The sequence below is a fragment of the Homo sapiens genome, chromosome X (genome assembly GCF_000001405.40).
Source record: "Homo sapiens chromosome X, GRCh38.p14 Primary Assembly".
Lineage (NCBI taxonomy): Eukaryota > Metazoa > Chordata > Mammalia > Primates > Hominidae > Homo > Homo sapiens.
The window spans coordinates 40822936-40848992 of NC_000023.11; the positions used below are offsets into that span (position 1 = coordinate 40822936).

General features: G+C 45.6%; 2 pseudogenes across 1 annotated transcript, besides 6 other annotated features; one reads left to right on the plus strand and one right to left on the minus strand.

Annotated features, from left to right (window-relative positions):
• Positions 1–8281: 8281 nt before the first annotated feature.
• On the minus strand, positions 8282–10261 carry TNIP2P1 (TNIP2 pseudogene 1; annotated as a pseudogene). Its single transcript, NR_027761.1, has one exon. The product of NR_027761.1 is annotated as a TNIP2 pseudogene 1 (transcript).
• Positions 11240–11740: an enhancer, noted in NCBI's record as "H3K27ac hESC enhancer chrX:40693428-40693928 (GRCh37/hg19 assembly coordinates)". NCBI's record gives its function as "activates a minimal SCP1, AML or CMV promoter by ChIP-STARR-seq in naive H9 embryonic stem cells {active_cell/tissue: H9 hESC(naive)}" and the evidence as "EXISTENCE:reporter gene assay evidence [ECO:0000049][PMID:30033119]".
• MKRN4P (makorin ring finger protein 4, pseudogene) lies at positions 11319–14872 on the plus strand (annotated as a pseudogene).
• Positions 11741–12241: an enhancer, noted in NCBI's record as "H3K27ac hESC enhancer chrX:40693929-40694429 (GRCh37/hg19 assembly coordinates)". NCBI's record gives its function as "activates a minimal SCP1, AML or CMV promoter by ChIP-STARR-seq in naive H9 embryonic stem cells {active_cell/tissue: H9 hESC(naive)}" and the evidence as "EXISTENCE:reporter gene assay evidence [ECO:0000049][PMID:30033119]".
• Positions 21715–22666: an enhancer, noted in NCBI's record as "OCT4-NANOG-H3K27ac hESC enhancer chrX:40703903-40704854 (GRCh37/hg19 assembly coordinates)". NCBI's record gives its function as "activates a minimal SCP1, AML or CMV promoter by ChIP-STARR-seq in primed H9 embryonic stem cells {active_cell/tissue: H9 hESC(primed)}" and the evidence as "EXISTENCE:reporter gene assay evidence [ECO:0000049][PMID:30033119]".
• Positions 21715–23618: a biological region, named in NCBI's record as "hESC enhancers GRCh37_chrX:40703903-40704854 and GRCh37_chrX:40704855-40705806".
• Positions 22621–22915: a silencer, noted in NCBI's record as "tiled region #525; HepG2 Repressive non-DNase unmatched - State 7:EnhWF, and K562 Repressive non-DNase unmatched - State 24:Quies". NCBI's record gives its function as "represses a minimal TATA promoter and a strong SV40 promoter by Sharpr-MPRA in HepG2 and K562 cells {active_cell/tissue: HepG2 | K562}" and the evidence as "EXISTENCE:reporter gene assay evidence [ECO:0000049][PMID:27701403]".
• Positions 22667–23618: an enhancer, noted in NCBI's record as "OCT4-NANOG-H3K27ac-H3K4me1 hESC enhancer chrX:40704855-40705806 (GRCh37/hg19 assembly coordinates)". NCBI's record gives its function as "activates a minimal SCP1, AML or CMV promoter by ChIP-STARR-seq in primed H9 embryonic stem cells {active_cell/tissue: H9 hESC(primed)}" and the evidence as "EXISTENCE:reporter gene assay evidence [ECO:0000049][PMID:30033119]".

Below are 26057 nucleotides of genomic sequence, written 5' to 3' on the forward strand. Positions count from 1 at the left end.
GGATGACAGAGTAAGACCCTGTCCCTGTCTCAAAAACAACAACAAAAAGCCTAATCCCTACTGATTTGAGTCCTAACAAAACTTCAATCTCCCATACAGCTGGCTCTGTATGAATTAAACTTTCCTGCAATTCCCATGTCTTGATAAATTGGCCGTGTCTAGCCAGTGGACAAGGAGAACCTATTGGGCTCTGTATAAAGTGAAGTAGAGGTTCCTCTTCAAAGACTTTCCTCCCCATTTAATTAGGAATAAATAGTAACTTCTCTTAGAAGCAAAATTTATTCAAAGACCTCTGCTAACATTCTTAAATATCTGCTAGCCATGGTAAAGAAATCAATATACTTTATGTTCTTAGCTCCCACAATTTAGCCTAAGTATTTGTCCTGGCATGCTTATACTGGTCCAAGCAAGCGTTAGGTCATAGCCTGTTCCTCTTCCTTATTTGAAGGTGTTTTTACTTTTCTCAGCATTCCACAAGTTACTTCCTCCTTCCTTTGTTCTCCTCTGCCTTTGCCTCTTTTAAAAAGTTCTGAGTTGCTAGCCAATCGGGACAAATACAGAGTGTAAGGTCCCGTTCCAGCCAATGGAAACCGGACACAGCAGTAGCGTGGACATGGCAGGTTATAAATGTTTGGTGTACTCTCGTGGCAAAACTGCTGGCAAGTGTACCCTTTCTGCAAGAAGTAAAAATGGCCTTGCTGAGAAAATTAAATTTATGTTCAAGTGCTATTTCTTTATGGCACCGGGGAAAAAGCATTTCAAAGAGACTCCTTAGGCCCATCCTGGGACTATATTAACTTCTTTATTCTTTAAACTACTAAATGTTGGGGACCTCTTTGTTATAACATGTAGCCTTTCACCATAACTAACATACATAATTAGCAACTGTTTAAAGTTATAATGAAAAATATGAGAAAACTTCCAAATGTATGAAAAGGTAAATAGTTTGTTTAAAAACGCTTTTTTCTTTTAAGGAGTCATAAACGAAAAAAGTTTAGACTCCTAGAATAGTTTACACTTGATTGTCTATACTTCTTCACCTTCTAGTCACTCACCAACCTATTGTACCTTGCTCCCTCCCTCTCCAGAAAGAGAAGATGGAGATTCCAAAGAGGTTGATATATCAATCACTTGCTCTGCCCAGAGCAACCTCTAGATATATCCATTGACTTCTCTGCCCATAGTCCCTTCTAAGGGAACCTACCCCACCTTCAGCTCCTATTGAGACAGCTTCCTATTTTGTTCCATATGACCTAGTGTGCCCCCTTCCCTACCACCAACCATGATGATAGCAGACTTGGCCAGGGTGGGCACCTGACCAATGAGTGATAGTCAATCCATAGGTAGACCAGGAACCTATGATGTAGCCTGGCCCAAAAGCCAAACTGGCTTTATCATATTACCTCTCTTGGGTATCTGAACTGGAAAACATGAAACAGATGGCAAAGGAAGCTAAAGATGAGCACATGTTTAGAGAAAGGCCATGAATTACTGCTGGGACCATTAAGGGTCAGAACAAACTCAGATTACAAAGAAGCATAAACTGTGAATTGGCAAAAGCTAGGAGTTAGAGCTATGCAGAAAAGAAGAAAGGAGTAAACCAGAGAAGGCATTCTGTTTCATGCCAGTTATTTTTATTTTTCAGTATTTTTGGGGTTTTTTGTTTTGTTTTGTTTTGTTTTGAGACAGAGTCTTGCTCTGTCACCCAGGCTGGAGTGTAGTGGTGGGATCTTGGCTCACTGCAACCTCTGCCTCCCAGATTCAAGTGATTCTTCTGGCTCAGCCTCCCAAATAGCTGGGATTACAGGTATGTGCCAACACACCCGGCTAATTTTTGTATTTTTAGTAGATACAGGGTTTTGCCATGTTGGCCAGGCTGGACTCAAACTCCTGACCTCAGGTGATCTGCCCGCCTCAGCCTCCCAAAGTGCTGGGATTACAGGTGTGAGCCTCCGCACCCAGCCACAAGCCAGTTATTTTTAAAAACCTTCAACTACAAATATATGGGAATTCTGGATAAACATAACAAATATCCCTTAAAATGCATAGCAGAGGTGAAATAATTAAATGTGAGGGGAGACAGGACAAAAAGAAAGTTGAAACCAAGTTGGCAAACTTGCATTCATATTTTGGCTGCCCTGGGGTAAAAGCAAACAAGAAGCAACGCAGAGATGAGAGATAAAAGGTCCCTCACTGAAAGGATGAATTATTATTCTACTCACCAGCAAGGGACATGATGAAGATACTTGTCAATACAAGCTAGACAATTTTTGCCCTTCCTCCTGCAAGTAGAACCTACATCAGTTGGGGAACACAGATGAACAGTGTCTCCAATGTGGCCTTCTGGGCAGGTGATACACCTTAGAGTTCTGGGTTCTGTCTGAATAATTGAGTCTGGTCCTCATTTTTGGAGAGCTTGACTGTAGGGCAGTCAATCCAGCCTATTCTATTTGTCCACACCACCAGCTTGAGGGCATGTGTCACCTCATGGAATGACCGAGAGACAGCTATAAGAATGGGATTGGGGAAGACATCTGAAGATGCTGACAGGTGGTTTGTGTGAAAGTTAGCTCTTTGTGTTAAAGTCAGCTCTTCCACTGTTTCTGATAGACTTCTCAGTAGGACAAAGGACAATGGTGACCAAATTGTAGTTAAAGCTGTCTAGCAGAGGACAGCAGACATAGAAGTCAGTTTAATTTAAAGTGTACAAGCAAAACAGTTATGGAGAGCCACACCAGGGAATTTTTCCTTCAAGAGGAAGGCTCCAGGGGTGTCTCTAAAAGATGAAAGATCATTAATGTTCCTCCTTCCCCTGTTCGCCTTGGCATCTGGGGTGTTTCCTCCCCAGGCACTGGCATTGTTGTTCTCCCTCCACCTCCATAAAATTGGTGTGGCCTATTCCAGCAGTTATAACTTCACCCTTTCCCAGTCATCCATTACGCATATCCAGACCTTTTGTCCACAAAGGTCAGATGCAAGAGGGACAAGGATATTTTAATAAAACTTATAGAGACCCAGTATGTTCCCCCACTTTGGCCCTCCCATGTGGGTCATTGTAGGGTGGGGGGCCGGTGAGCAGTGTACTCAACCAAGTGGTCATTATCCTTATGATCTAGATGATGGCAGTCCAGCAAGAGAATCCAGATGGCTGAACTAGAATTAAGTTTCAATACTCTAGGTCCATTTTGAGCTGAGCTGCCATACAGAGAGTAAACCAACCAGGCTGGCTTGGGTTTCCCTTAAGGGAAAGAAAGAAGCAGCATGCCTAGAAATGATTACAAAAGTATTGAATTTTCAAAATAGATCTCTATAAACCTGACCCCTTTGTCCTGATCATTACTTAGGCAATAGCTGAGAAGGGACAGTTTTTTTTTTTTCTGGGGACAACTGCATTCAATGACAAATTGCCTTATTAAGGCATGTAGACCAGGAGGAGGTGAGGGAAGTAGAGTCAGAAACCTTTTTTTTTTTTTTTTGAGATGGAGTCTCGCTCTGTTGCCAGGCTGGAGTGCAGTGGCGTGATCTCGTGATCTCAGCTCACTGCAATCTCTGCCTCCCAGGTTCAAGCGATTCTCCTGCCTCGGCCTCCCGAGTAGCCGAGATTATAGGCGTGTGCCACCATACCCAGCTAATTTTTTTGTATTCTTAGTAGAGACGGGGTTTCACCATGTTGGCCAGGATGGTCTCGATCTCCTGACCTCGTGATCCACCCGCCACAGCTTCCCAAAGTGCTGGGATTACAGGCGTGAGTCACCATGCCCGGCCAGAAATCTTTTAAAGTAGATTTTGGAGGAGGTTGATCAGACTCAACAATACCAGATGCCTTTGGATGGTAGGGAGCATGGAAGGTCCATTGAATACCTTGACAATCAGCCCATTGTGTGTGGCTTTTGCAATAAAAGGGGCATTATTGTCGGCCTGCAAATGGTCTGGGAAGCTGATCACATGACATAGATTAGTTTCAAGGGTCACAGTGATCTGTTTGGACTCTGCTGATCAGACTGGAATAGCAACACAGTAACCTGAAAAAGTGTCAACAGCAGTGAGGCCCTGCTGATAGGCCCAAGAGGGGATCAAAGGTCCAATGTGGTGCGGTCAATCTTGCAGGAGCAGTGCCCTGTGCAATGTGGGCTCCTTTGCTATGAGACAGGAGTCCCAAGTCTGGTATGCCACGATAGCCTCGGCATCAGAAACATAAAGTCCTTCATTTTGTGCCTAGTTTATGAGGGTGGCTGTCTTGCCGTGTCTAGTCCAGGCAGCAATGATGGTAATCTGGGCAGTGCAGGTTTGATTAGCAGCTTGCTTGGTCTCATCAGAGAACAGGCCTTTCCATGGGCATCTACATGAGTGACCCAGATGGTTTGATCAGCCAGCCATTTGTTTCCACAGTACATGGCCCCAGAGAAAGATGTCTTTAAACTGTCAGGCTATCATTTTCCATGTGGCAAACCAAACAAATAGGCCATCGGCAATAGTCAAGAAGTCAGTAAAACCATAACAAGGTTCATCAAAGGAAGTATTGGTCGGAGCTATGAGAATGGCCTTGACTCTGCCCATTAAGTGGAGCCACATTCATTTTTGCTTCTGCATAGCTGGTGGTGAGGTCGAATAGCTGCAGCATTCCAGTAGACACTACTGGGTTTCAGTTTAGTTGAACCATCAGTGAACCAGGCCCAGGCATTAGAGAAACTTCTGTGAATCAACGGTCCCATGGAGTCAGTGGTTTTGCTTCAGGCAACCAAGTGGGGGATAATTGAATGGGGATAACTGTTACTTTTTCATCTAAGTCAAGATGCTGCTTGGACCAGGTCAGCTGCTTTCTTGAATACATTTCCTTTTGACAAGGGAAGCTTATTGGGCCCATTCCGACCTGTTAGTCACTGAGTTTGAGTTAACCCACCCCAAAATGGGGATATAAGGCTGGAGAGTCACAAGGCCTCCATGAGGCAGGTGTTCAGTTTTGACAAGAGCCGTAGCAAGCTAATAGCTGGTTTTCAAAAGGGTTGTTTCTAGTAACCATATCAGGGAGACGACTAGTCCCAAACCCCAAGGGGTATTTCTGGGTGGAAGCTGCCTCCCTTTGTCAGAGACTTCAATCAGCAAAATCATCTGCCATGATCATTAAGTTTATAGCACCCTAAAGGTAGAGAGCATGCCACAACTTGCAGGACAGCTTCAAACACAATTTATTGGTTTAAGCCCCACTCAAAGGATGCTGATTTGGCAGGTTCACTGATATAAAGATCAAGTAGCATGACTGAGTGAGGCACATACTGTTTCTAATACTCTAAGAGTCCAATAAGGTACTGGACTTCCTTTTTGATTTAGGGGACCAAAGAGATAGCAGTTTTTCCATGACCACCACAGGGACTGAGTGTTATAAATCCATCCACATAGTTCCAAGAAATTTTGCTTGGTAAGCCAACAAGTCACCATCTGTATAGTGAAAGCTTCGGACATCAAAAGGTAGAAGAACTCATGCTAAATCCTGACTCACCCACTGGTGACAAATGGCAGGAGAACTTAGGTACCCCTAGGGGAATGCCTATAATCATATATTGGAGGCCTTGCTACGTGAATGTGAACTGATATTGATCCTCAAGTGTCAGTGGGAAGGTGCTGGTAAAAGTCTAAGACAGCAAACCAGGTGTTATCAGCCTGTGTAATGGATTAATTTGTAGTTGCAATATCTGGAACAGCCATGGCTCTGAAAGCAACAACAGATCAGTCAGCAATAATCTACTGTAAGCCTTCACCACCTGCTTCACTGGCCATACAGGGTTATTATATTGAGATAATGCCTTATTTTCCACCTCTGATGCCTTTAAGTCCTTAATCAAGGCTATGATTTCCCTTTCTCTTCCTGGGGTTCTTTAGCTTCTGTTGGACCATCAGGGAGGAGACAGAGAGGTGGGCTGAGAAGCAGTGTATACCTCCCATAAACATTTCTCTATATGCCACTCCTCTGAATCCTGAAAATCTCCCCTCACTCAACCCTGGCACTTATGGGATGGGGATACAATACATCAATTCCTACTGTACATTCAGATGCAGAAGTAAAAACCACAGTGCACTGAACTGGCCCAATGGACCCTACCCACAAGTTAGATTTCCTTCTTCACTGTGAACCCTGCCTAAGCACCATTAGCTGGATCTGAGGGCTTTTGCCTTCCCCAGGTCTGGGTAGGATAGTGACTTGAGCACCTGTATTCAACAGAGCCATAGCAGTTTGAATTTCTCACTTTCCCCAAATTCCCCTTGGATGAGTAGACATGGTTTTCAATTTTCTTTAGGGTCAGGAAAATCTTGGCCCCACCTCTAATAATCTTTCTTTTTAAAGTAGCTGAGTTTGGGGTAGAAGAGTGGGGAGGGATCAGGGACATGGAGGGAGAGAGTGGCTCTAAGCTATTAAATAAAAAACTTTGCATTTAGGGAGTGTGGCAGAAGCTTATGGTGCAACCAAAAATCTTTCAGTGTTTTTTCCTACTCACACTTTATACTGACTGAATAGAGATCCTGATGGTTGACACTACCAATTTCAGCTTTGGAGACCCCTTCACTCAGTCATAGCTGCATGTTTTATAGCTGAAGCTATTGGGTTTGTGACCCCTAGCTGACTTGACCCAGGCTTGCACAGCAGCAACCTTCTTTGAGAATTCCACTTTAATTCAGGGCCTCTGCTGCCCCATCACCAAGATAACATCTCTTATGTTCTCACCTGGTTTCAACACAAGCGAAGTTTTCCAGGGCAGCAGCATCTACCTAGGTTTGATGGGGTCAGCTTCTCATTCTCCAGTGGGTCACCTTTGCCAGCACTGTAAACCCAAATTCAAGGCAGTGAGAGCCTGAATACTACTCAATGCCTCATCTACGGTTTCCCATAGGAGTTTGTCTGTTTCAGGGAAATCTCCCTGAAAGGCCCACAGCTCCCTTATTGCAGCCAGGATCTATTGCAAAAAAAAAAAACCAAAAAAAAAAAAAAACAAACAAAAAAAACCTCTAAGACCTTCTACTGTTCTCTCCTAGTGGATCTAAGGCAGACACGATGGACCGCAGGAGGGGCTGAGCCATAAGACCCAGTTTACGTTGCCATTCTTCCTTGACAAGCATTACTAGCCGCACTTCCTCATCTCCCAAGTGAACCAGCCAAACTCCTAATGATGTGCCTGGTTTCTGCCCATAGTGGTCATGAATTTCCCTCCTTCCACACATCTCTGCAATTGTTGTCTAAAAGAGGGCAGAATCTTTTATGTGCACCAGACAATACCTAGTACTAGTTGTTACAGTGGGGCAGACCTGAGGGTAACTCCAAATTGTTCAGGAAGTTCTACACCTGCATTAGAGTTAGCAAGAACCAGGGCACCATTTGAGCAGTGGTCTTTGAATCTGCTTGCTGGTACTCAGCCTGCATCCACCTCTTCAATCCCCATCATGAACAGGCAATAAAGTGAAGAACTATTTATGGCCTAGTTGAGCAGATAATTTGGTCAACATATTTCAGCGACTTTCTTCAAATTTGTTTTCTTTTTTTTTTGAAACAGGGTCTCGCTCTGTTGCCCAGGCTGGAGTGCAGTGGCGCGCTCTTGGCTCACTGCAGCCTCGACTTCCCAGGTTCGAGCGATTCTCCCACCTCAGCCTCCCGAGCAGCTGGGAACACAGGCACACATCACCATGCCCAGCTAATTTTTGTATTTTTCGTAGAGGCAAGGTTTTGCCACGTTGCCCAGGCTGGTCTCAAACTCCTGAGCTCAAGAAATCTGCTTGCCTTGGCCTCACAAATTGCTGGGATTACAGGTGTGAGCCATCACGCCCGGCCCTCAAATTTCATTAAATTTACCCACAATATCCTCATCCTTCTCCTTCTAGAAAGCCATGTCTCTGTCAGTATCCCGCCCTCCTCACTAAAGCTGTCAAGAACTATAAAAGGTCTGAGATTTTGTCCTACTCAACAAGCTAACAAGTCAGCCCACTACAGTTTCATGGAATCTGGTAGAAAACATGACACTCAGAGATGGACAGTGTTTTACTGTAGAAAGGTCAGTCACCAGATATCAACATTTTGGCACCAGTTTCTTGAGCCCCGATTATGTAGGGGAACTCCTCTGTGCTGGTGCCCTGAAAACCGTGCATATATCCTCATAGGCCATGTAAGCAAAGCTCAACTGCAAGCTGATCCATGCCGTGGCAGAAGGCTCTGTGATCCTCCCCAAGCATGAGAGGATAGGCAGTCTTGTGAGGAGCTGCCATACCGCCATTTCTCACTTGCCTTTCTATTTTTTTTTCACAGTAGCAAGAACATTTATTATAAAAATAGGTGGATAAAATAAGTGTGCTTTAACTTCTGGATATATGACAAATGCTATTGTGATGCAGTTTTTCAGTGCAGACATGTGGCTCTGCAATGATGGGGATGGGCCCCCTAGTGTGATGTGCAGCCACAATACTCCATTTGACAAACCTCCTGGTTCAAGGCAGAGAGGAGACACCTTATTCTATAGAACAGGATGGGGCTTCCACCCTGGGGACCATACAAGTGGCTCCCATAGGCAGCCACGCCTTTCTGGCAAGCTGTGGCATACCCAGGTGCAGGCTGGGGGAGGGGCTGGCACACCAGCCCCAGATTGCTCTGGCTTCAGCCTGATGGAGACACAAGACTAGGACCTCCCTCTGCCAGATGTTCCTGACCCCATCTCCACCTCCAGCCTCTAGCCTCGCTGGGAGTTCCCTGTGACCCAGCCTGTTCCATAGCCAAAGGGAGACCAAAGTGAACGATCACAGTGCCCCGCACCTATTCTAGGGGACTTGGATCTCAGTAGAGCTTAATCCATGGCATCTGAGAGCACCCACCCTGTCCCTGAGGGCAGCTGTGCCGGGCCAGGGGGCCGCAAGGGCATGGGTGGAATCTTGGTCACTGGCAGCACTCAGCCACGTGCCTGAGGAGCTCTTCACCTTGTTCGTCACTGAAGCACTGCAGGCAGTGAGGGCACTGAAGTTCCCCCTGGCCTCTCTGGGCTGCGCCAGGATGCCCGCCCTCTGCAGGGGGTTCCAACCGCCTGGGACCCAGTCCCAGGCCTCCAGCCACCAGGCACGATAAGCTCCACTGCATCGGTGGCCAAGTACTTGGCAGTTTTGCTCCCAGCGTGAATCCAGCCGGCGTCTGGCTCTTGAGAATCCTGTCTCCAGGACACCTGGTGCAGCAAAGAGGTGACCTTTTCCTCCAGTTCCTGAATCCTACCTTGAGCCTGTTCCCGATCTGCCCTTTCTGACATGAAGTCATCCTTGTAAGCGAGAATCTGCTATTCCAGTATCTGCACCCATTCCAGTGCAGCATCCCGTGCCGTCCTCGAGGCTGCCAGCTTCTACGTCAATTCTGCACAGTCGTTTATTTTCTCTTCCAACTATCTGTTGAGCCGGGAGATCTCCTTCCTCATCAGCTCGGGCTCATGGGGGGGGGGGGGTCTGCAGCCCCCTGAGCTGTGCATGGAGCCCCCTCATGTATTCGTCCCTGCTGACATCGTATAGCTGCCACTTGGCATAGAGGTCTTCAACGTGAGTCACCTTCTGTTTTAACAGTCGATTTTCTTCCTCAGTAACACTCTGGACAGAGGTGTCCCTACCTGTATGTTCTGACTTTCAGGACTTCTCTCCCCCACGTTCCTTTGTGCATGCTGTCGTTCATCCAGACACTTGGCCAGATGCTGACACATGTGGGCAGTGGAGGTCAGCGTCCTCCGCAGCTGGTGGGTCTCATTGGCCAAGGAGCTGCACAGAACGTCACTGGCGGGGTGGGCCGGTTCGCCCTCCGCCATGCTCCTCCGCATCAGGACGACTTCCTTCTCTCGCTGGTGCTGTGGCTGGCTCAGCAGCTGCTGCATCTCCCTCTCTTTCGCTTCTAGTCGCTCAGTAAGCCTCTCAATTTCCTGGCGCATCTGGGCCTCCGCGGCGCCGTTCTCCTGCCGCTGCAGCTGCTCCCGGAAGTGCGCCACCTGCTCCAGCAGCGCATCCACCAGGGACGGCGCAGTGTACCCCTCCAGCGCGGCCAGCCTGGCGTGGAGGCACGCGATGAGGGAGTCGCGGGCGGCCAGCTGGTCCTGCAGGCGCCGCAGCCGCTACCCGACCTGGTAGCACAGGCCGCAGAGCTCTGCAGCTGCGCGCGGGGCCCCCTCCCGGCCGTCCGACCCCGGGTCCCCGCACGTGACTGTGGGCCTGCCTGGGAGGCCGCACGGCCGCCGGCAACTTCGGTGCCCGGACCCTGTCGGCTCTCTATCTTGAGGGAGTTTCTCATCGCCTCTTGGTTCCAATGAGGTGTGGGACTTTCCAGCTTGTCCCCTCTCCCTTAGGGAGGCTAAGCTGCAGGCTATAAAACTACTTAGCAGCAGTATAGAAATGGCTCCTCTGGCGCGGTGGCTCATGCCTATAATCCCAGCACTTTGGGAGGCCGCAGCGGGTGGATCACTTGAGGTCAGGAGTTCCAGACCAGCCTGGCCAACATGGTGAAACCCTGTCTCTACTAAAAATACAAAAATTAGCTTGGCGTGGTGATGTGTGCCTGTAATCCCAGCTACTCGGGAAGCTGAGGCAGGAGAATCACTTGAACCCGGGAGGTGGAGGTTACAGTGAGCCAAGATCATGCCCCACTGCACTGCAGCCTGGGCAACAGAGCGAGACTGTCTCAAAAAAAAAAAAAAAAAAAAGAAAGAAAGAAAGAGAGAAAGAAAAAGAAAGAAAGAAAAATGAAATGACTCCTCAGCAACAGGGTGCCCCAACACTCATGTTTCTTGTCATTTGGCCTCTTTTGTTTGGGTGTCCTATTGTGGGACAAGGAATGCAGGGAGCTGACACCATGCTGTTGTTTCTTTTTCTGTCTATGTAAGTAATAAACTGTCTGAATCTAATCAGTGCTTGTTGTCCTCTTACCAGCCAAATCTGTAAGCCTGCTCAACACATTCTCACAGGGCAACTCTAAAGAGGACCAGGTAACACCTGCACGTGCAGTGGATTACATTATAGGAGAGAAACCCTGGACTTAGGGAATCTGAACCTTTCATAATGGGCAGTAATCATTCCTGCCCTTCACTCCAGAGGGAGGCTATTTTTATTATAGTGGACAGTAAGCATGCTTGCCCTTTTCTTTGGAGGGAGACACTACCTCTGTCTTTCAAGGATGCACTGTATACAAATATCCTGGAAAAGATAGTCCGGAACAAAGGACAGTACAGTGCCTTACTTGCAAGATGTGCAAGCACACAAGACCTATGAAGAACTGTCTCCCAACAAAGGATACATGCAGAAGGAGAAAAAACTCTCTTAAACAAAAAGAGGCAGAGCCGGCAGGGACCGAGCGGGTGCCTCAGTCTCCTTCCCCTCCCCTCGCCTGTCCTCGCCATCTTCTTCTCACAGCCGGACCGGAACTATGTGATCCCGGAAGTTCCGGGTCCTTTGGCCCTATATGATCCCGGAAGTTCCGGGGCTTTTGGACCTCTGTGATTCCGGAAGTTCCGGGGCGTTCCGGGGCGTTCTGGGGCCTTTGGAGCGTGGGATAAGCAGTAATGGCGGAGGCTGCAGCTCCCGGAACAACAGCCACAACATCGGGAGCAGGAGCAGCAGCGGCGGAGGCGGCGGAGACGGCGGCAGCAGTCTCCCCGACTCCGATCCCCACAGTCACCGCCCCGTCCCCGAGGGCGGGCGGAGGGGTCGGCGGCAGCGACGGCAGCGACGGTAGTGGCGGCAGGGGCGACAGTGGCGCGTATGACGGCAGCGGTGCGTGCGGCGGCAGCGACGCGTGCGATGGCAGCGGCGACAGCAGCGGCGACAGCTGGACTAAACAGGTCACTTGTAGATATTTTAAGTATGGGATTTGTAAGGAAGGAGATAACTGTCGCTACTCGCATGACCTCTCTGACCGTCTGTGTGGTGTAGTGTGCAAGTATTTTCAGCGAGGGTGCTGTGTTTATGGAGACCGCTGCAGATGTGAACATAGCAAGCCATTGAAACAGGAAGAAGCAACTGCTACAGAGCTAACTACAAAGTCATCCCTTGCTGCTTCCTCAAGTCTCTCATCAATAGTTGGACCACTTGTTGAAATGAATACAAACGAAGCTGAGTCAAGAAATTCAAATTTTGCAACTGTAGTAGCAGGTTCAGAGGACTGGGCGAATGCCATTGAGTTTGTTCCTGGGCAACCCTACTGTGGCCGTACTGTGCCTTCCTGCACTGAAGCACCCCTGCAGGGCTCAGTGACCAAGGAAGAATCAGAGGAAGAGCAAACCGCCGTGGAAACAAAGAAGCAGCTGTGCCCCTATGCTGCAGTGGGACAGTGCCGATATGGGGAGAACTGTGTGTATCTCCACGGAGATTTATGTGACATGTGTGGGCTGCAGGTCCTGCATCCGATGGATGCTGCCCAGAGATCACAGCATATACAAGCGTGCATTGAAGCCCATGAGAAAGACATGGAGTTCTCATTTGCTGTGCAGCGCAGCAAGGACAAGGTGTGTGGGATCTGCATGGAGGTGGTCTATGAGAAAGCCAACCCCAACGAGCACCGCTTCGGGATCCTCTCCAACTGCAACCACACCTTCTGTCTCAAGTGCATTCGCAAGTGGAGGAGTGCTAAGGAATTTGAGAGCAGGATCGTCAAGTCCTGCCCACAATGCCGAATCACATCTAACTTTGTCATTCCAAGTGAGTACTGGGTGGAGGAGAAAGAAGAGAAGCAGAAACTCATTCAGAAATACAAGGAGGCAATGAGCAACAAGGCATGCAAGTATTTTGATGAAGGACGTGGGAGCTGCCCATTTGGAGAGAACTGTTTTTACAAGCATATGTACCCTGATGGCCGTAGAGAGGAGCCACAGAGACAGCAAGTGGGAACATCAAGCAGAAACCCAGGCCAACAAAGGAACCACTTCTGGGAATTCTTTGAGGAAGGAGCGAACAGCAACCCCTTTGACGATGAAGAAGAGGCTGTCACCTTTGAGCTGGGTGAGATGTTGCTTATGCTTTAGGCTGCAGGTGGGGACGACAAACTGACAGACTCTGAAAATGAGTGGGACTTGTTTTGTGATGAAGAATTTTATGTCTTAGATCTATAGAAACCTTGCGTAGTGTGTGAGCTGGTCTGCTGACCCCAGATAGCAGCTGTCCCCTGTGGTGGTGTGGCAGTGCCTATGTTCTCTCCTAGGCAGACCTATCAACTCCAGGTGCTGCGGTTAAGAATATGTACCCAGGGCCTGTCTTGTCAACCCCTCACCTTTCCCCAAGGAGTGTGTTGTTTTCCCTGTTGGAAAAAGTTACAAAAATAAATGTTAAAGGTTTTTTTTGTTTTTTGTTTTATTGAGACAGAGTCCCACTCTGTCACCCAGGCTGGAGTGCAGTGGTGCAATCTTGGCTCACTGCAACCTCCGTCTTCCGGGTTCAAGCCATTCTCCTGTCTCAGCCTCCCAAGTTGCTGGGACTACAGGTGCATGCTACAATGCCCAGCTAATTTTTCTCATTTTTAGTAGAAACGGGGTTTCACCATATTGGTCAGGCTGGTCTCGAACTCCTGACCTCAGGTGATCCACCTGCCACTACCTTCCAAAGTGCTGGGATTACAGGCGTCAGCCACCATGCCCAGCCTTAAAGTTAGTTTTTTGTAACAGGCATGAGCCACCGCGCCTGGCTTTAAAGTTCGTTTTTTGTAACAGGCATAAGCCACTGTGCCTGGCCTTAAAGTTAGTTTTTTTGTAACACGAATTTAACTGTTGGACAGTTAGTTTAGATGTGTTGCATCATCTGTTTTCAACCAGATTGTGTTTATGGACTTTTCACACACTAATTTTGAGGACCCCAGGTTCAAAAGTAAAAGCAGTGGCCCTGCTTTGGGGTCCAATAATAGGAGTGATGGGTGAAGGGACCTAAGCTGGCCAGTAGCCTTCTGCTCCAGACATGGGACGCGGATCCTTGAGGTTTCTGGTTAAATCTGCACATCTGTGTTTTTATATCTGTTCCCTACCCCTGTAATCCCTACCGCATGCACTAGTTCTGTAGTTTTGGTCTCTCGTTTAATTGTATGCAAGTAGTACTACTGGGTAACCAGAGCCAAGCGTGAATGTGTTCAGATTTCTACTGTTTTGCATGATAGGAAAATTGAGAAAGAATACATATAAAAGATATAGAGGCATAACATCAATGCAGAGTTGGAAGTTGACCTCCACGGGGTGACATGGTGTGTGTGAGTGTGGGTGTGTGATAAGCTTCTCAAACCTGCATAGATGCAGTATTCTTGGCTTTGGTAGAAAGCCTTGGTTTAAGGCTGGGCGCGGTGGCTCACGCCTGTAATCCCAGCACTTTGGGAGGCTGAGGCGGGCGGATCACAAGGTCAGGAGATCGAGACCATCCTGTGAATGGTGAAACCCTGTCTCTACTAAAAATACAAAAAATTAGCCGGGCGTAGTGGCGGGCGCCTGTAGTCCCAGCTACTCTGGAGGCTGAGGCGGGAGAATGGTGTGAACCTGGGAGGCGGAGCTTGCAATGAACTGAGATTGTGCCACTGGACTCCAGCCTGGGTGACAGAGCGAGACTCTGTCTCAAAAAAAAAAAAAAAAAAAGGAAAACCTTGGTTTAGGGGTTTAAGTCTTATGTGGTGGTTAGATCTTAAAGGACAAAGCAGTATATTGGTAGTTGTCAATATAGCAGTACTAGCTCTGTTTATATAAATAGAGAAATGGAGTTAGCCATAGAGGTTAAAACTACCTGGTTATCCCATATATTAACCCAAACTGGGTCTTGGATACACAGTTGTATTTAATGTTTTACGATCTAGCCTTTCCAGTATAGGCACTTCCTGAAAAACCTTTGTCCTCATTTGGGGCATTTTGTTGTTGGGTTTCGCCATGTTGGCCAGGCTGGTCTCGAACTCCTGACCTCAGGTGATCCACCTGCCTCAGCCTCCCAAAGTGCTGGGATTACGGGCATGAGCCACCACACCCGGCCAGGAAAAGGTATTTTATATTTATCATTGCTGTGCTGTTTATTCATTTGTATAAATTCAAGTTCCCATCTGGTATTGTTTTCCTTCAGCATGAATAACTTCTTTGAACATTTCTTGTGGTTCATGTCTGCTGGCAACAAATTCTCTCAGCTATTTATCTGGAAAAGTCTTTATTTCACCTTCATATTTCACCTGTATTTTCTTTGTGTACAGAATTCTAGGTTGACATTTTTTCCTTAGTGTTTTAAAGATGTCATTTCATATTCTTCTGGTTTGCATAATTTCTGATGAGAAGTCTGCAGTTTATTTTCTTTCTATTTCTCTCTCTTTTTGCTCCTCTGCAAAGCCAATTCCTCTTGCTATTTTTAATATTTTCTCATTATCATTGTTTCATAGGAATTTGATTATGATTTTCCTTGGTATGATTTCCTTAATATTTATTCTATTTGGGACCATTGAGCTTCTCATAGCTGCATATCTGTATGTTTATAATTTTCATCCAGTTTAAAAAAAAAGTTTTGAGAAAGAGTCTCACTCTGTCACCCAGTCTAAAGTACAGTGACACGATCTTGGCTCACTGCAACCTCCGCCTCCCTGGTTCAAGTGATTCTTGTGCCTCAGCCTCCTGAGTAGCTGGAATTACAAGTGCATGCCACCATGCCCAGCTAATTTTTGTATTTTTTGTAGAGACGGGGTTTTGTCAAAACTCTCGACCTCAAGTGATCCGCCTACCTCGGCTTCCCAAAGTGCTGGGATTACAGGTGTGAGCCACTGTGCCTTGCCCAGTTTTAAAAATTTTGACCATTATTTCTTCAAATATTTTTTTCTGCTACTACCCTTTCTCTCCTCTCCTGAAAGTCAATTTTGAGTATGCTAGACTGCTTGATATTGTCTCACATGTCAGTGAGGTTGTTTTCCTTTCTTCTTTTTCTTCAGTCTTTTTTTCTGTGTCTGCTGCATTTTGGATAGTTTTTATTGTTATGCCTTCAAGTTCACTAATTTTTCTTCTGCAGCATCTAATCTGCTATTAATCTCATCTTTGCAGACTTCAAGTACACATCTGTTAGATCATTAATATTGTTTCTCCCAGGCCACTGAGGCTCGGTTCATTTTTAGCCTTTTTTTTCTCCTTATACTTCAGTTTAGACAGTCTCTATTGCTATTTTTTAGAGTTCATTGACCTTTTCTTCTGTAGGTTCTAATCTACTGCTAAGTCCATCCAGTGAATATTTCATTTCAAATACTGTATTTTTTAGCTCCAGAAGTTCCATTTGGCGCTTTTTTAAAAAAATTGTGGTACAACATACAGAACATAAAATTTACTATTATTACCATTTTTAAGTGTCCAGTTCAGTGGCATTAAGTACGTTCACATTGTTATGCAACCATCACTGCCATCCATCTCTAGAACTTTTTCATATTCCCAAATTGAAACTCTGTATCCGTTAAACAAAAACACCCAATTTCTCCCTCCCTCCCAGCCCGTGGCAACTACCAGTTTACTTTCTGTCTCTGTGAATTTGACTATTCTAACTGCTTCATATAAGTGGAATCATACAATATTTGTCATTTGGTTCTTTTTAAAAAGTCTTCTGGCTGGGCATGGTGGCTCACACCTGTAATCCCAGCACTCTGTGAGGCTGAGGCAGGTGGATCACTTGAGGCCAGGAGTTTAAGACCAGCCTGGTGAACATGACAAAATCTCATCTCTACTAAAAATACAAAAATTACCCAGGTGTGGTGGCGCATGTCTGTAATCCCAGCTACTCGGGAGGCTGAGGAAGGAGAATTGCTTGAACCTGGGAAGTGGAGGTTGCAGTGAGCCAAGGTCACGCCACTGCACTCCAGCCTGGGTGATAGAGCAGGACTCTGTCTCTAAATAAATAAATAAATAAAAATAAAAAGTCTTCTATTTTTCTCCTCTTTATGTTATGTTTTCCTCTAAGTATATTAACATACTTATAATAGCTGTTTAAAGTCCTTGTCTGCTAATTCCCTCATCTCTGTTGCCTCTGGGTCTATTTCTATTGACTGATTTTTCTCCTGATATGGGTCACATTTTTATGCCTTTTAGCAAGTTTAGTAATTTTGACTGGATGCTGAACATTATGAATGTTACATTGTTGAGGTCTGGATTTTATTGTCTTCTTTAAGGCATGCTGAGTTTTGTTTTGACACACAATTAAGTTCCATACAGTTCAGGCTGATCTTTTCATGGCTTATTTTTTAGCTCTCTTATGGCAGGTCTAGAATAGCCTTTCATCTAGGGCGAGTTTAGACCTATTATTGAGGCTTAAACTTTCTGGGCTCTACTGAATACCCTGGTGTTTCTCCACTCTGAGTGGTCAGAACTCAAACATCTCCCAGTCCTATGAAAGCTCTGAGAATTGTTCAGCTAACAGCTCCTTGGTGGTACTCCTTTCTGTGGTAGTTATCCTTTGCCTAATCTTGTGGGGTCTTACCCTATTATGTATGCATTAATTTATAGTCAGCCAAAGGAAGTCAGCCGATCATTTTAGCTCTCTCTGCATAGCTCACTCTTCTCTGGTAGTCTTCTTCCCAAATTCCAGCTATCTCAGCTTTCCTGAACTCCAATCTTCATCTCTTCAACTCAGCAAGACTTCTGTGCTATGCTTGGATTTCCCCTCTCACACTGCATTCTGGAAAGTGCCCCCAGTCAGTAGGTATCTCTTCATTTGGTTCCTTTCTTTCAGATATTGCAATTCCATGCTGCATGGTGTTCAATGTCTAGAACAAGTTGTTTCATGTATTTTGTCCAGTTTCTAGTTGTTTACATTAGAAAGGCAAGTCTTGTACTTGTTGCTCCATCATGGTTGACAGAGGAATTTACCCTATCTTTTTTATATAATGCTGGCAATTTAGTTCCTTTTATACGCTCCCTTCATGTGTGTTTAAAAAAAAAAAAAAAACTTTAGGCCAGGCACAGTGGCTCACACCTGTAATCCCAAACTTTGGGAGACCAAGGTGGGTGGATCATTTGAGGTCAGGAGTTCAAGACCAATCTGGCCAGTATGGTGAAACCCCGTCTCCACTAAAAATACAAAAATTAGCCGGGCGGTAGTGGCATGTGCCTGTAATCCCAGCTACTCAGGAGACTAAGGCAGGAGAATTGCTTGAGCCTGGGAGGCAGAGGTTGTGGTGAGCTGAGATCGTGCCACTGCACTGCAGTCTGGGCAACAGAGTGAGACCCTGTCTCAAACCAAAACGAACAAACAAAAAAACTTTAGACAAATGAAATGTAACAGAGTTTAGTTGAGCAAAGAACAATTCACGAATCAGTCAGCCCCCAGAACCAGAATAGGTTCAGTGTGACTCTGGAGCTACCACATTGTCAGATAATATTTATGAACAGAAAAAGGAAAGCAATGTACAGAAAATGGAAGTAAGGTACAGAAACAGCTGGATTGGTTCCAGCTCAGTGTTTGCCTTATTTAAACACAGTTTGAACAGTTGGCTGCCTGTGATTGGCTAAAGCTCTGTGATTGGCACAGAGTAGGTTATAGTATATTTATATATCCAGTGAGGCTACAGTTCACTGTGTATGGAGAAATGTTTAGGCTGAACTTAAAATATGTTAGGAGGCAGCTTTAAACTTAATTTAACATGTTTTTATGGCCAGGCACGGTGGCTCATGCCTGTAATCTCAGCACTTTGGGAGGCCAAGGTGGGTGGATCACCTGAGGTCAGGAGTTTGAGACCAGCCTGGCCAACATGGTAAAACCCTGTCTCTACTAAAAATACAAAAATTAGCAAGGTATGGTGGTGTGTGCCTGTAATCCCAGCTACTTGGGAGGCTGAGGCAGGAGAATTACTTGAACCTGGGAGGTGGAGGTTGCAGTGAGCTGAGATTGCGCCACTGCACTCCAGCCTGGGTGACAGAGCAAGACTCAGTCTCAAACACAAACAAACAAACAAACAAAAAAAGACATGTTTTTACAACCAATTCATCACCAATTTTTGCCATATTATTGCCTACATACCTCCACCATCAATTTCTTCCCTCCAATACCATTGCTACTTCTTCAATTGAGGCAATCTGCAGTTTGTAGTGTGGAGTGCTTCAGAGTTTTCTTTTTTTTTTTTTTTCCGAGATGGAGTCTTGCTCTGTTACCCAGTCTGGAGTGCAGTGGCGCAGTCTTGGCTCACTGCAACCTCCGCCTCCTGAGTTCAAGCAATTCTCCTGCCTCAGCCTCCCAAGTAGCTGGGATTACAGGCACCCGCCACCACACCCAGCTAATTTTTGTATTTATAGTAGAGACAGGGTTTCACCATGTTGGCCAGGCTGGTCTTGAGCTCCTGACCTCGTGATCCATCCACCTCAGCCTCCCAAAGTGCTGGGATTACAGGTGTGAGCCACTGCACCTGGCCTCAGAGTTTTAATAAAAGCTTCACTTTTCTAACATTGTGTCCCTCTGTACCATCTGCCACACAATACTCAGAATATTTGTAAAATACAAATATGACCCTATTGTTCTTCAGCTTATGAAACTGCCTTTGCAAAAATTGTAACAATGAGAAAATTATGTCAGTGAAAGACATCTAACCTAACCAACTCCATCTTGCCTTTAACCTCCAAACTGCCCTTGGTCACTCTTGGGCATGGGCCAAGCTAACTTTGGGAGAAATTTATAGTTTAGATGATAATAGCCCTTCCCAAAACTAAACTGCCTTTATAAAACTAATAAAAGGCCACAAATTTAGGATTATGAGAGGGGCCTGAATTCTGCTAAGATGTAGGTATAGCATCTACATCTTAGCTTGTGATCAGCTTGTGGCTGGTTAAACTATTACCAGCCATTGTTCTGGAGCTCATAAGATTTGTAGCTCCCCCAATTACTACTATAAATAACATCACTATTATAGAACCTAAGATTGGCCTTTTGAGACATTTTTTCTGACCTTTGCATTTCTGACAAACAGATGACTCCACTCAGACCCGAGACTCAAGACTCAACTGGTCCTGTGGCCCCCACTCAGAAGCAGACTCAGTGCACAAGGACCATTTTCCATACCTCTATGATTGCACCTCCAACCAATCAGCAGTACCCATTCCCTAACCCCCTGCCTGCCAAACTGTCTTTAAAAAACCCTAGCCTCTGAATGTTCAGAGAGGCTGATTTGAGTAATAATAAAACCCTAGTCAAGGCGGAGGTTGCAGTGAACTGAGATTGCACCACTGTACTCCAGGCTGGGCAACAAAGTGAGACTCTGTCTCAAAACACACACACACACGCACACACACACACACACAAAAACACACACACACACACACACACACAAACCCAGTCTTCTGTTTAGCCAGCTCTACATGTATGAAACTCTTTCTCTATTGCAGTTCCTCTGTCTTGATAAATTGGCTCTATCTGGGCAGTGGGCAAGATGAACCTGTTGTTGGTTACACATAAACCTTACAGTGGCTTCTCACTGCCTGTGATAAAGTCTGTTCTCTTCAGCTTAGTTTATGAGGTCGTTCCTTTAGGGTCCCAAACTAGATATGAACATCTCTTCCTGCCCCACCCTTCTTCCCTTTACCCTCCAACAACACTAAACTACTGGTAGTTCCTTAAACACTGTGTCAATTCAAGGGCTCTGAAAAGCAGGGGCAATGACAGACGTAGATGCACATGAGGTTTATTCAGGGAAACACCTCAAAAGGATAAAGGGCAGAGGGAGCAGGAATATACAGACAGAGCCTTCAAACTGTGATAGAGTTCTAACACCTGTGAAAGAAGAAAAGGATAGAAGGAAGAACTGGATAGGAGGAGCTTAGGTTGCAGTACAGCTCTCTGAGAAAGTCTTTGTCAGGCAGGTTGAGAGCCCCAGGGTAAACATTGACCACTAGGGAATCCCTCATCAGCAAGAAATGGCTCAGTTCTAGAACTCCTGTCAGAGGCAACCTAACCAGAGTGACTGCATCTTGAAAACAGGTGGGATAAAGCCAAACCTGCTGGGCTACATTCCCAGGGAATTGGACACTCTTGGTCACAAGATGTTTATGGTCAAGGGAATGAGTTAATGATGCTGACTAAATAAAGAACCAGAGCTTATGCAAATGTCCAAATATTTTAAGAACAAAAAGCAGCCGGGCAGGCACAGTGGCTCACGCCTGTAATCCCAGCGCTTTGGGGAGCTGAGCGGGCGGATCACCTGAGGTCAGGAGTTCGAGACCATCCAGGCCAACATGGCGAAACCCTGTCTCTACTAAAAATACAAAAATTAGCCGGGTGTGGTGGCAGGCACCTGTAATCCCAGCTACTTGGGAGGCTGAGGCAGGAGAATCGCTTGAACCCAGAGGCAGAGGTTGCAGTGAGCCATGATCAGGCCACTGCACTCCAGCCTGGGCAACAGAGTGAGACTCTGTCTCAAAAACAAGAACAGAAAGCATTCTTAGTTTAAGAATAGGTTTTGTTTTGAAGATAATAGTACACTTGGAAATTCTTGTTGAAATCAATAGTGACATAGGAAAATAATGATACTAATAGCCTAGCACAAGCTGATCGCAAGCTTTTGTAATAAAGTACACTATTCTTAACAGCCTATATAAGCAAGTACCATGCTTAAGATGGGGGAGTTTCTCCTCTTGCTTTCTGAGGATGCCCTACTCTGTAACAGAGTAATCTCTAATAAACTATCTTAACTTCACTATACTCTGCGACTCACCCTGAATTCTTTCCTGTGTGAGATCCAAGACCTCATGGGGTTTGGGGCAAGACCCCTTTTCCAGTGACACTCCTGCCATGCTACGTCATTGGCTGGGAGTAAAGCAGAAAAAATTTGGCCTCAGCATGAATGCAGTGGCAGATCCTGAAAGTGAGGTATCTGGAAGCTGTTGACCAACTACACTTCCTATAGCAGGTTTTCTTGAAGGGAGATCTTAGGAGCATGTTCACCTCCATGGCTACCTAGTGTGATTTTTCCCACTTCTTTGTCTTTGCTAACACAGTTTCTGCTATTTGAGATGCCTGACCTCCCCGTCTATTTCCCCCGAGACATGCATACTTATCTTTCAGGACTGACTTACCAGTCAGTCTTCCAAGAAGCCTTCCCTGACTGTCTATCCCAGCCCCCATTAGATGTCCCACCTTATACATAGTTTTATCATAGCACTTAGCATTCATATTGTAATTGTCCTTCACGTATTTTGTCCCTTGCCCTTTATTGTGAGAAACCATTTCTTTGTATCTCCAGTACCTCATTCAGTGCCTGAAACATGGTAGGTGCCGAATTGTACTTTACCTTTACATTATTGCACTTCATCAGCGTTGCTCCACAAATGCCAGAAAGTACGTGTCCAAATGAAATTATTCTCTATCAATAGGCTATAGAGGTCACCGTCCTTAATGCAGTCCTTTATTCATACAGTTTCCATTTTGTATTATATTTGTTCCTGTGAGAATCCATTGATAATCTCTGACAAACTGATTTACATTACAGTAAGTGGCACCCCCACTCTGACATTATTTGCATTTAAAAAAGTGAAGTCTGAAAGGGGGAATTCCTTTTGCCAAAGAGGAATTTCAAGCATCTGCTGCTGGTCACTGAGGTGAATTTTTTTGAAGGGGCCAGAGGCCGTTTCAGGGAGCAACTACCAAATCATCCCATAGAAGGAGGTGATTTTATTTTGGTCATAACTAGCGACAAGAACTATCTTGAAGACTTGAGCAAAGTCCCTAAGGAGGCCTGAATTTGGAAAGACAATGGGAGTGACCGCACTAGCATTTAAAGAGACATTTTTCGTTTTCCATTTTCCATAGCTAAATGCTGTGGTTGAATCTCTGCCCCTTCCCCCCATGTTTTTGTGTGAGAGAAATTCTGCTTCTGCTAGCAGTGCCTGGGATTCTGTCCAAACAGTGTGCTGTCAGCAGCATCAGCCAGCAGGAACGCATAATCCTCCCACCCTTTGGTTTTAGTGGGTAATGTTAACTAAGAAAATACTCCAGATTTTTCTTGTTCTCATGGTGTAACTCACTCACTTCAGACATGCCCCCTTCTCCAGTAGTTGCCCCCTATACTTGAGGAAATTTTTGTGTTTTTTTTTGGCAATACAATAGCCAATTCAGGAAACTAGTCAGCATCTCCCAGGACAAAAAGGCAGCTTTTCAGACTGCAATGTCACTTTCTTTCATTACTGTCATTCCTTGGGTCAAAGGGGCACAATGACCTCAAGTTTTTAAGTTTTTAACATTTCTGAGATCGAATTGTTACAGGAAAGGGGTCCCGATCCAGATCCCAAGAGAGGGTTCTTAAATCTCGTGCAAGAAAGAATTCAGGCTGAATCCATACAGTAAAGTGAAAGCGAGTTTATTAAGAAAGGAGAGGAGTAAAAGAATGGCTACTCCGTAGAGCAGCCGCAAGGTCTGCTGGTTGCCCATTTTTTATGGTTATTTCTTGATATATGCTAAACTAGGGGTGGATTATTCATGCCTCCCCTTTTTAGACAATATGGGGTAACTTCCTGATGTTGCCATGGCATTTGTAAACTGGAATGGTGCTGGTGGGAGTGTAGCAGTGAGGACGACCAGAGGTCACTCTCGTTGCCATCTTGGTTTTGGTGGATTTTAGCTGGCTTCTTTACTGCAACTTGTTTTATCAGCAAGGTCTTGATGACACATATCTTTTGCTGACCTCCTATCTCATCCTGAGACTTAGAATGCCTTACCCATCTGGGAATGTGGCCCAGTAGGTCTCAGCCTCGTTTTACCCAGCCCCTATTTAAGATGGGGTTGCTCTGGTTCACATGCCACTGACAACACTATGCTACAATCTAGTTCAAGCCAACAAAATTTATTGAAGATTTATTATATGCCAAACTCTATGATGTACATAGAGCAGAAAGATTTAATTTGGCCAAAGCATACTGAGGCTCACATGGAACTGGCACTAAGGCTATAAAGAATAAATCATGGCCCCTACCTTAATTAGCTCAGTGTGGTCAGAGAGACAGTCTACAATTAGAAAATGTGATAGGCCGGGCGCGGTGGCTCACGCCTGTAATCCCAGCACTTTGGGAGGCCGAGGTAGGTGGATCACCTGAGGTCAGGAGTTTAAGACCAGCCTGGCCAACATGGCAAAACCCCGTCTCTACTAAAAATACAAAAATTAGCTGGGCATGGTGGTGGGTGCTTGTGATCCCAGCTACTCGGGAGGCTGAGGCAGGAGAATCGCTTGAACCCCTGGGAGGCAGAGGTTGCAGTGAGCCGAGAGAGACTGCACCACTGCACTCCAGCCTGGGCAACAGAGCAAGACTCCATCTCAGAAAAAAGAAAAAAAAAAGAAAGAAAGAAAGGAAACAATGTGATAAGCACTATAGTGGAAGTACAGACGAAGAAACAATACAATTTTGTTTGGGGAATGAGACTTTAAAGTTCCTTACACAGCACTGTAATAGCTTTCAGATCCTTTGCCTTATCCCACAGTAAGTAATCCACATTTTTAATTGATGTTTTTATTGAGATAATTGTGGATTCACATGTAGTTGTGTTATGTAGCTAGCTAGTCAGACATAAACAAGGCAGGAGAGGGCCTTCCCAACCAGGAATGTCAGGTAACCATCAGGTGAGGGTCAGGCAGTTGTGAACCGTCTCTCTAAAATAATAATTGGTTGCAGCCAGTGCCAGGGAAAGGCAGTCTCCCTACAGAGAGGAAAAACCTGAAACTGGTGATCAGTAGTGTCCCAATAAGATCTCAGAAGCTGGGCGAATGGGCTCAAGCATGCACACAAAATGGCAGAGTTTAACTGGTATATATGACTTCCTAGGGACATTTGGCTGGTAAGGGAATAATGCCTCAAGTGAGCATGCATACAACTCCAGTAAACACACGGTGCATGCTCCTCTCCCAAGTGCTGGGAAGAATCAGGGGAGAAGGGATGCAAGACCCTGGAAGTATGCCAACATATAAAGCCCCAAGTCAAAAGGTCAAAGCACGCACTTGTCTTTCAAGTCATCCGCTTGGTCCTCTTTCAAGTGTTCTTTCCTTCCTTTTGTTCCTACTCTAAAGCTTTTTCAAGTGTACTTTCCTTCCTTTTGTTCCTACTCTAAAGCTTTTTTCACTCCTGCTCTAAAACTTGCCTTGGTCTCTCCTTTTGCCTATGTCCCTGAGTCAAATTCTTTCTTCTGAGGAGGCAAGAATTGAGGTTGCTGCAGACCCATACGGATTTGCTGCCAATAACAGTTGTAAGAAATAATATAGAGCGATCCTTATACATTTTGTTCAGTTTCCCTCCAATGTTAACATTTTGGCAAACTATACTGTCATATCACAACTAGGATTTTCTTTTTCCAAGAGTTAGGGCCTTGCTCTGTTATCCAGGCTGGAGTGCAGTGGTACAATCATAGCTCACTGCAGCCTCCAACTCCTGGCCTCAAGCATCCCAAGTAGCTGAGACTACAGGTATGCACCACCATACCCAGCTAAGTTTAAAAAAAATTTTTTTAGAGACGAGGTCTCACTATATTGCCCAAGCTAGTCTCAAACTCCTGGCCTCAAGCAATCCTCCTGTCTCAGCCCAAAGTGCTGGGATTACAGGCATGAGCCACTGCACCTGGCACAACAATTAGGATATTGATATTGATACAATACCCTGAACCTTTTCAGATTTCTCTAGTTTTACTTGTACTCATGTATGTGTATCTGTGTATGTATGTTTGTGTGTTGTGTGTGTAAGTTCTAAACTATTTTTATTTTATTTATTTATTTATGTTTGAGATGGAGTTTCGCTCTTGTTGCCCAGGCTGGAGTGCAATGGCGTGATCTCAGCTCACTGCAACCTCTGCCTCCTGGATTCAAATGATTCTCCTTCCTCAGCCTCCCAAGTAGCTGGGATTGCAGGCATGTGCCACCACACCCAGCTAATATTGTATTTTTAGTAGAGACAGGGTTTTACCATGTTGGTCAGGCTGGTCTCGAACTCCTGACCTCAGGTGATCCACCTGCCTTGGCCTCCCAAAGTGCTGGGATTACAGGTGTGAGCCACTGCGCCTGGCCCTAAACAATTTTATCACTTGCGTAGGCTCATGTATCCACATCATTATCCCTCACAGTCAAGATACAGACCATTTCC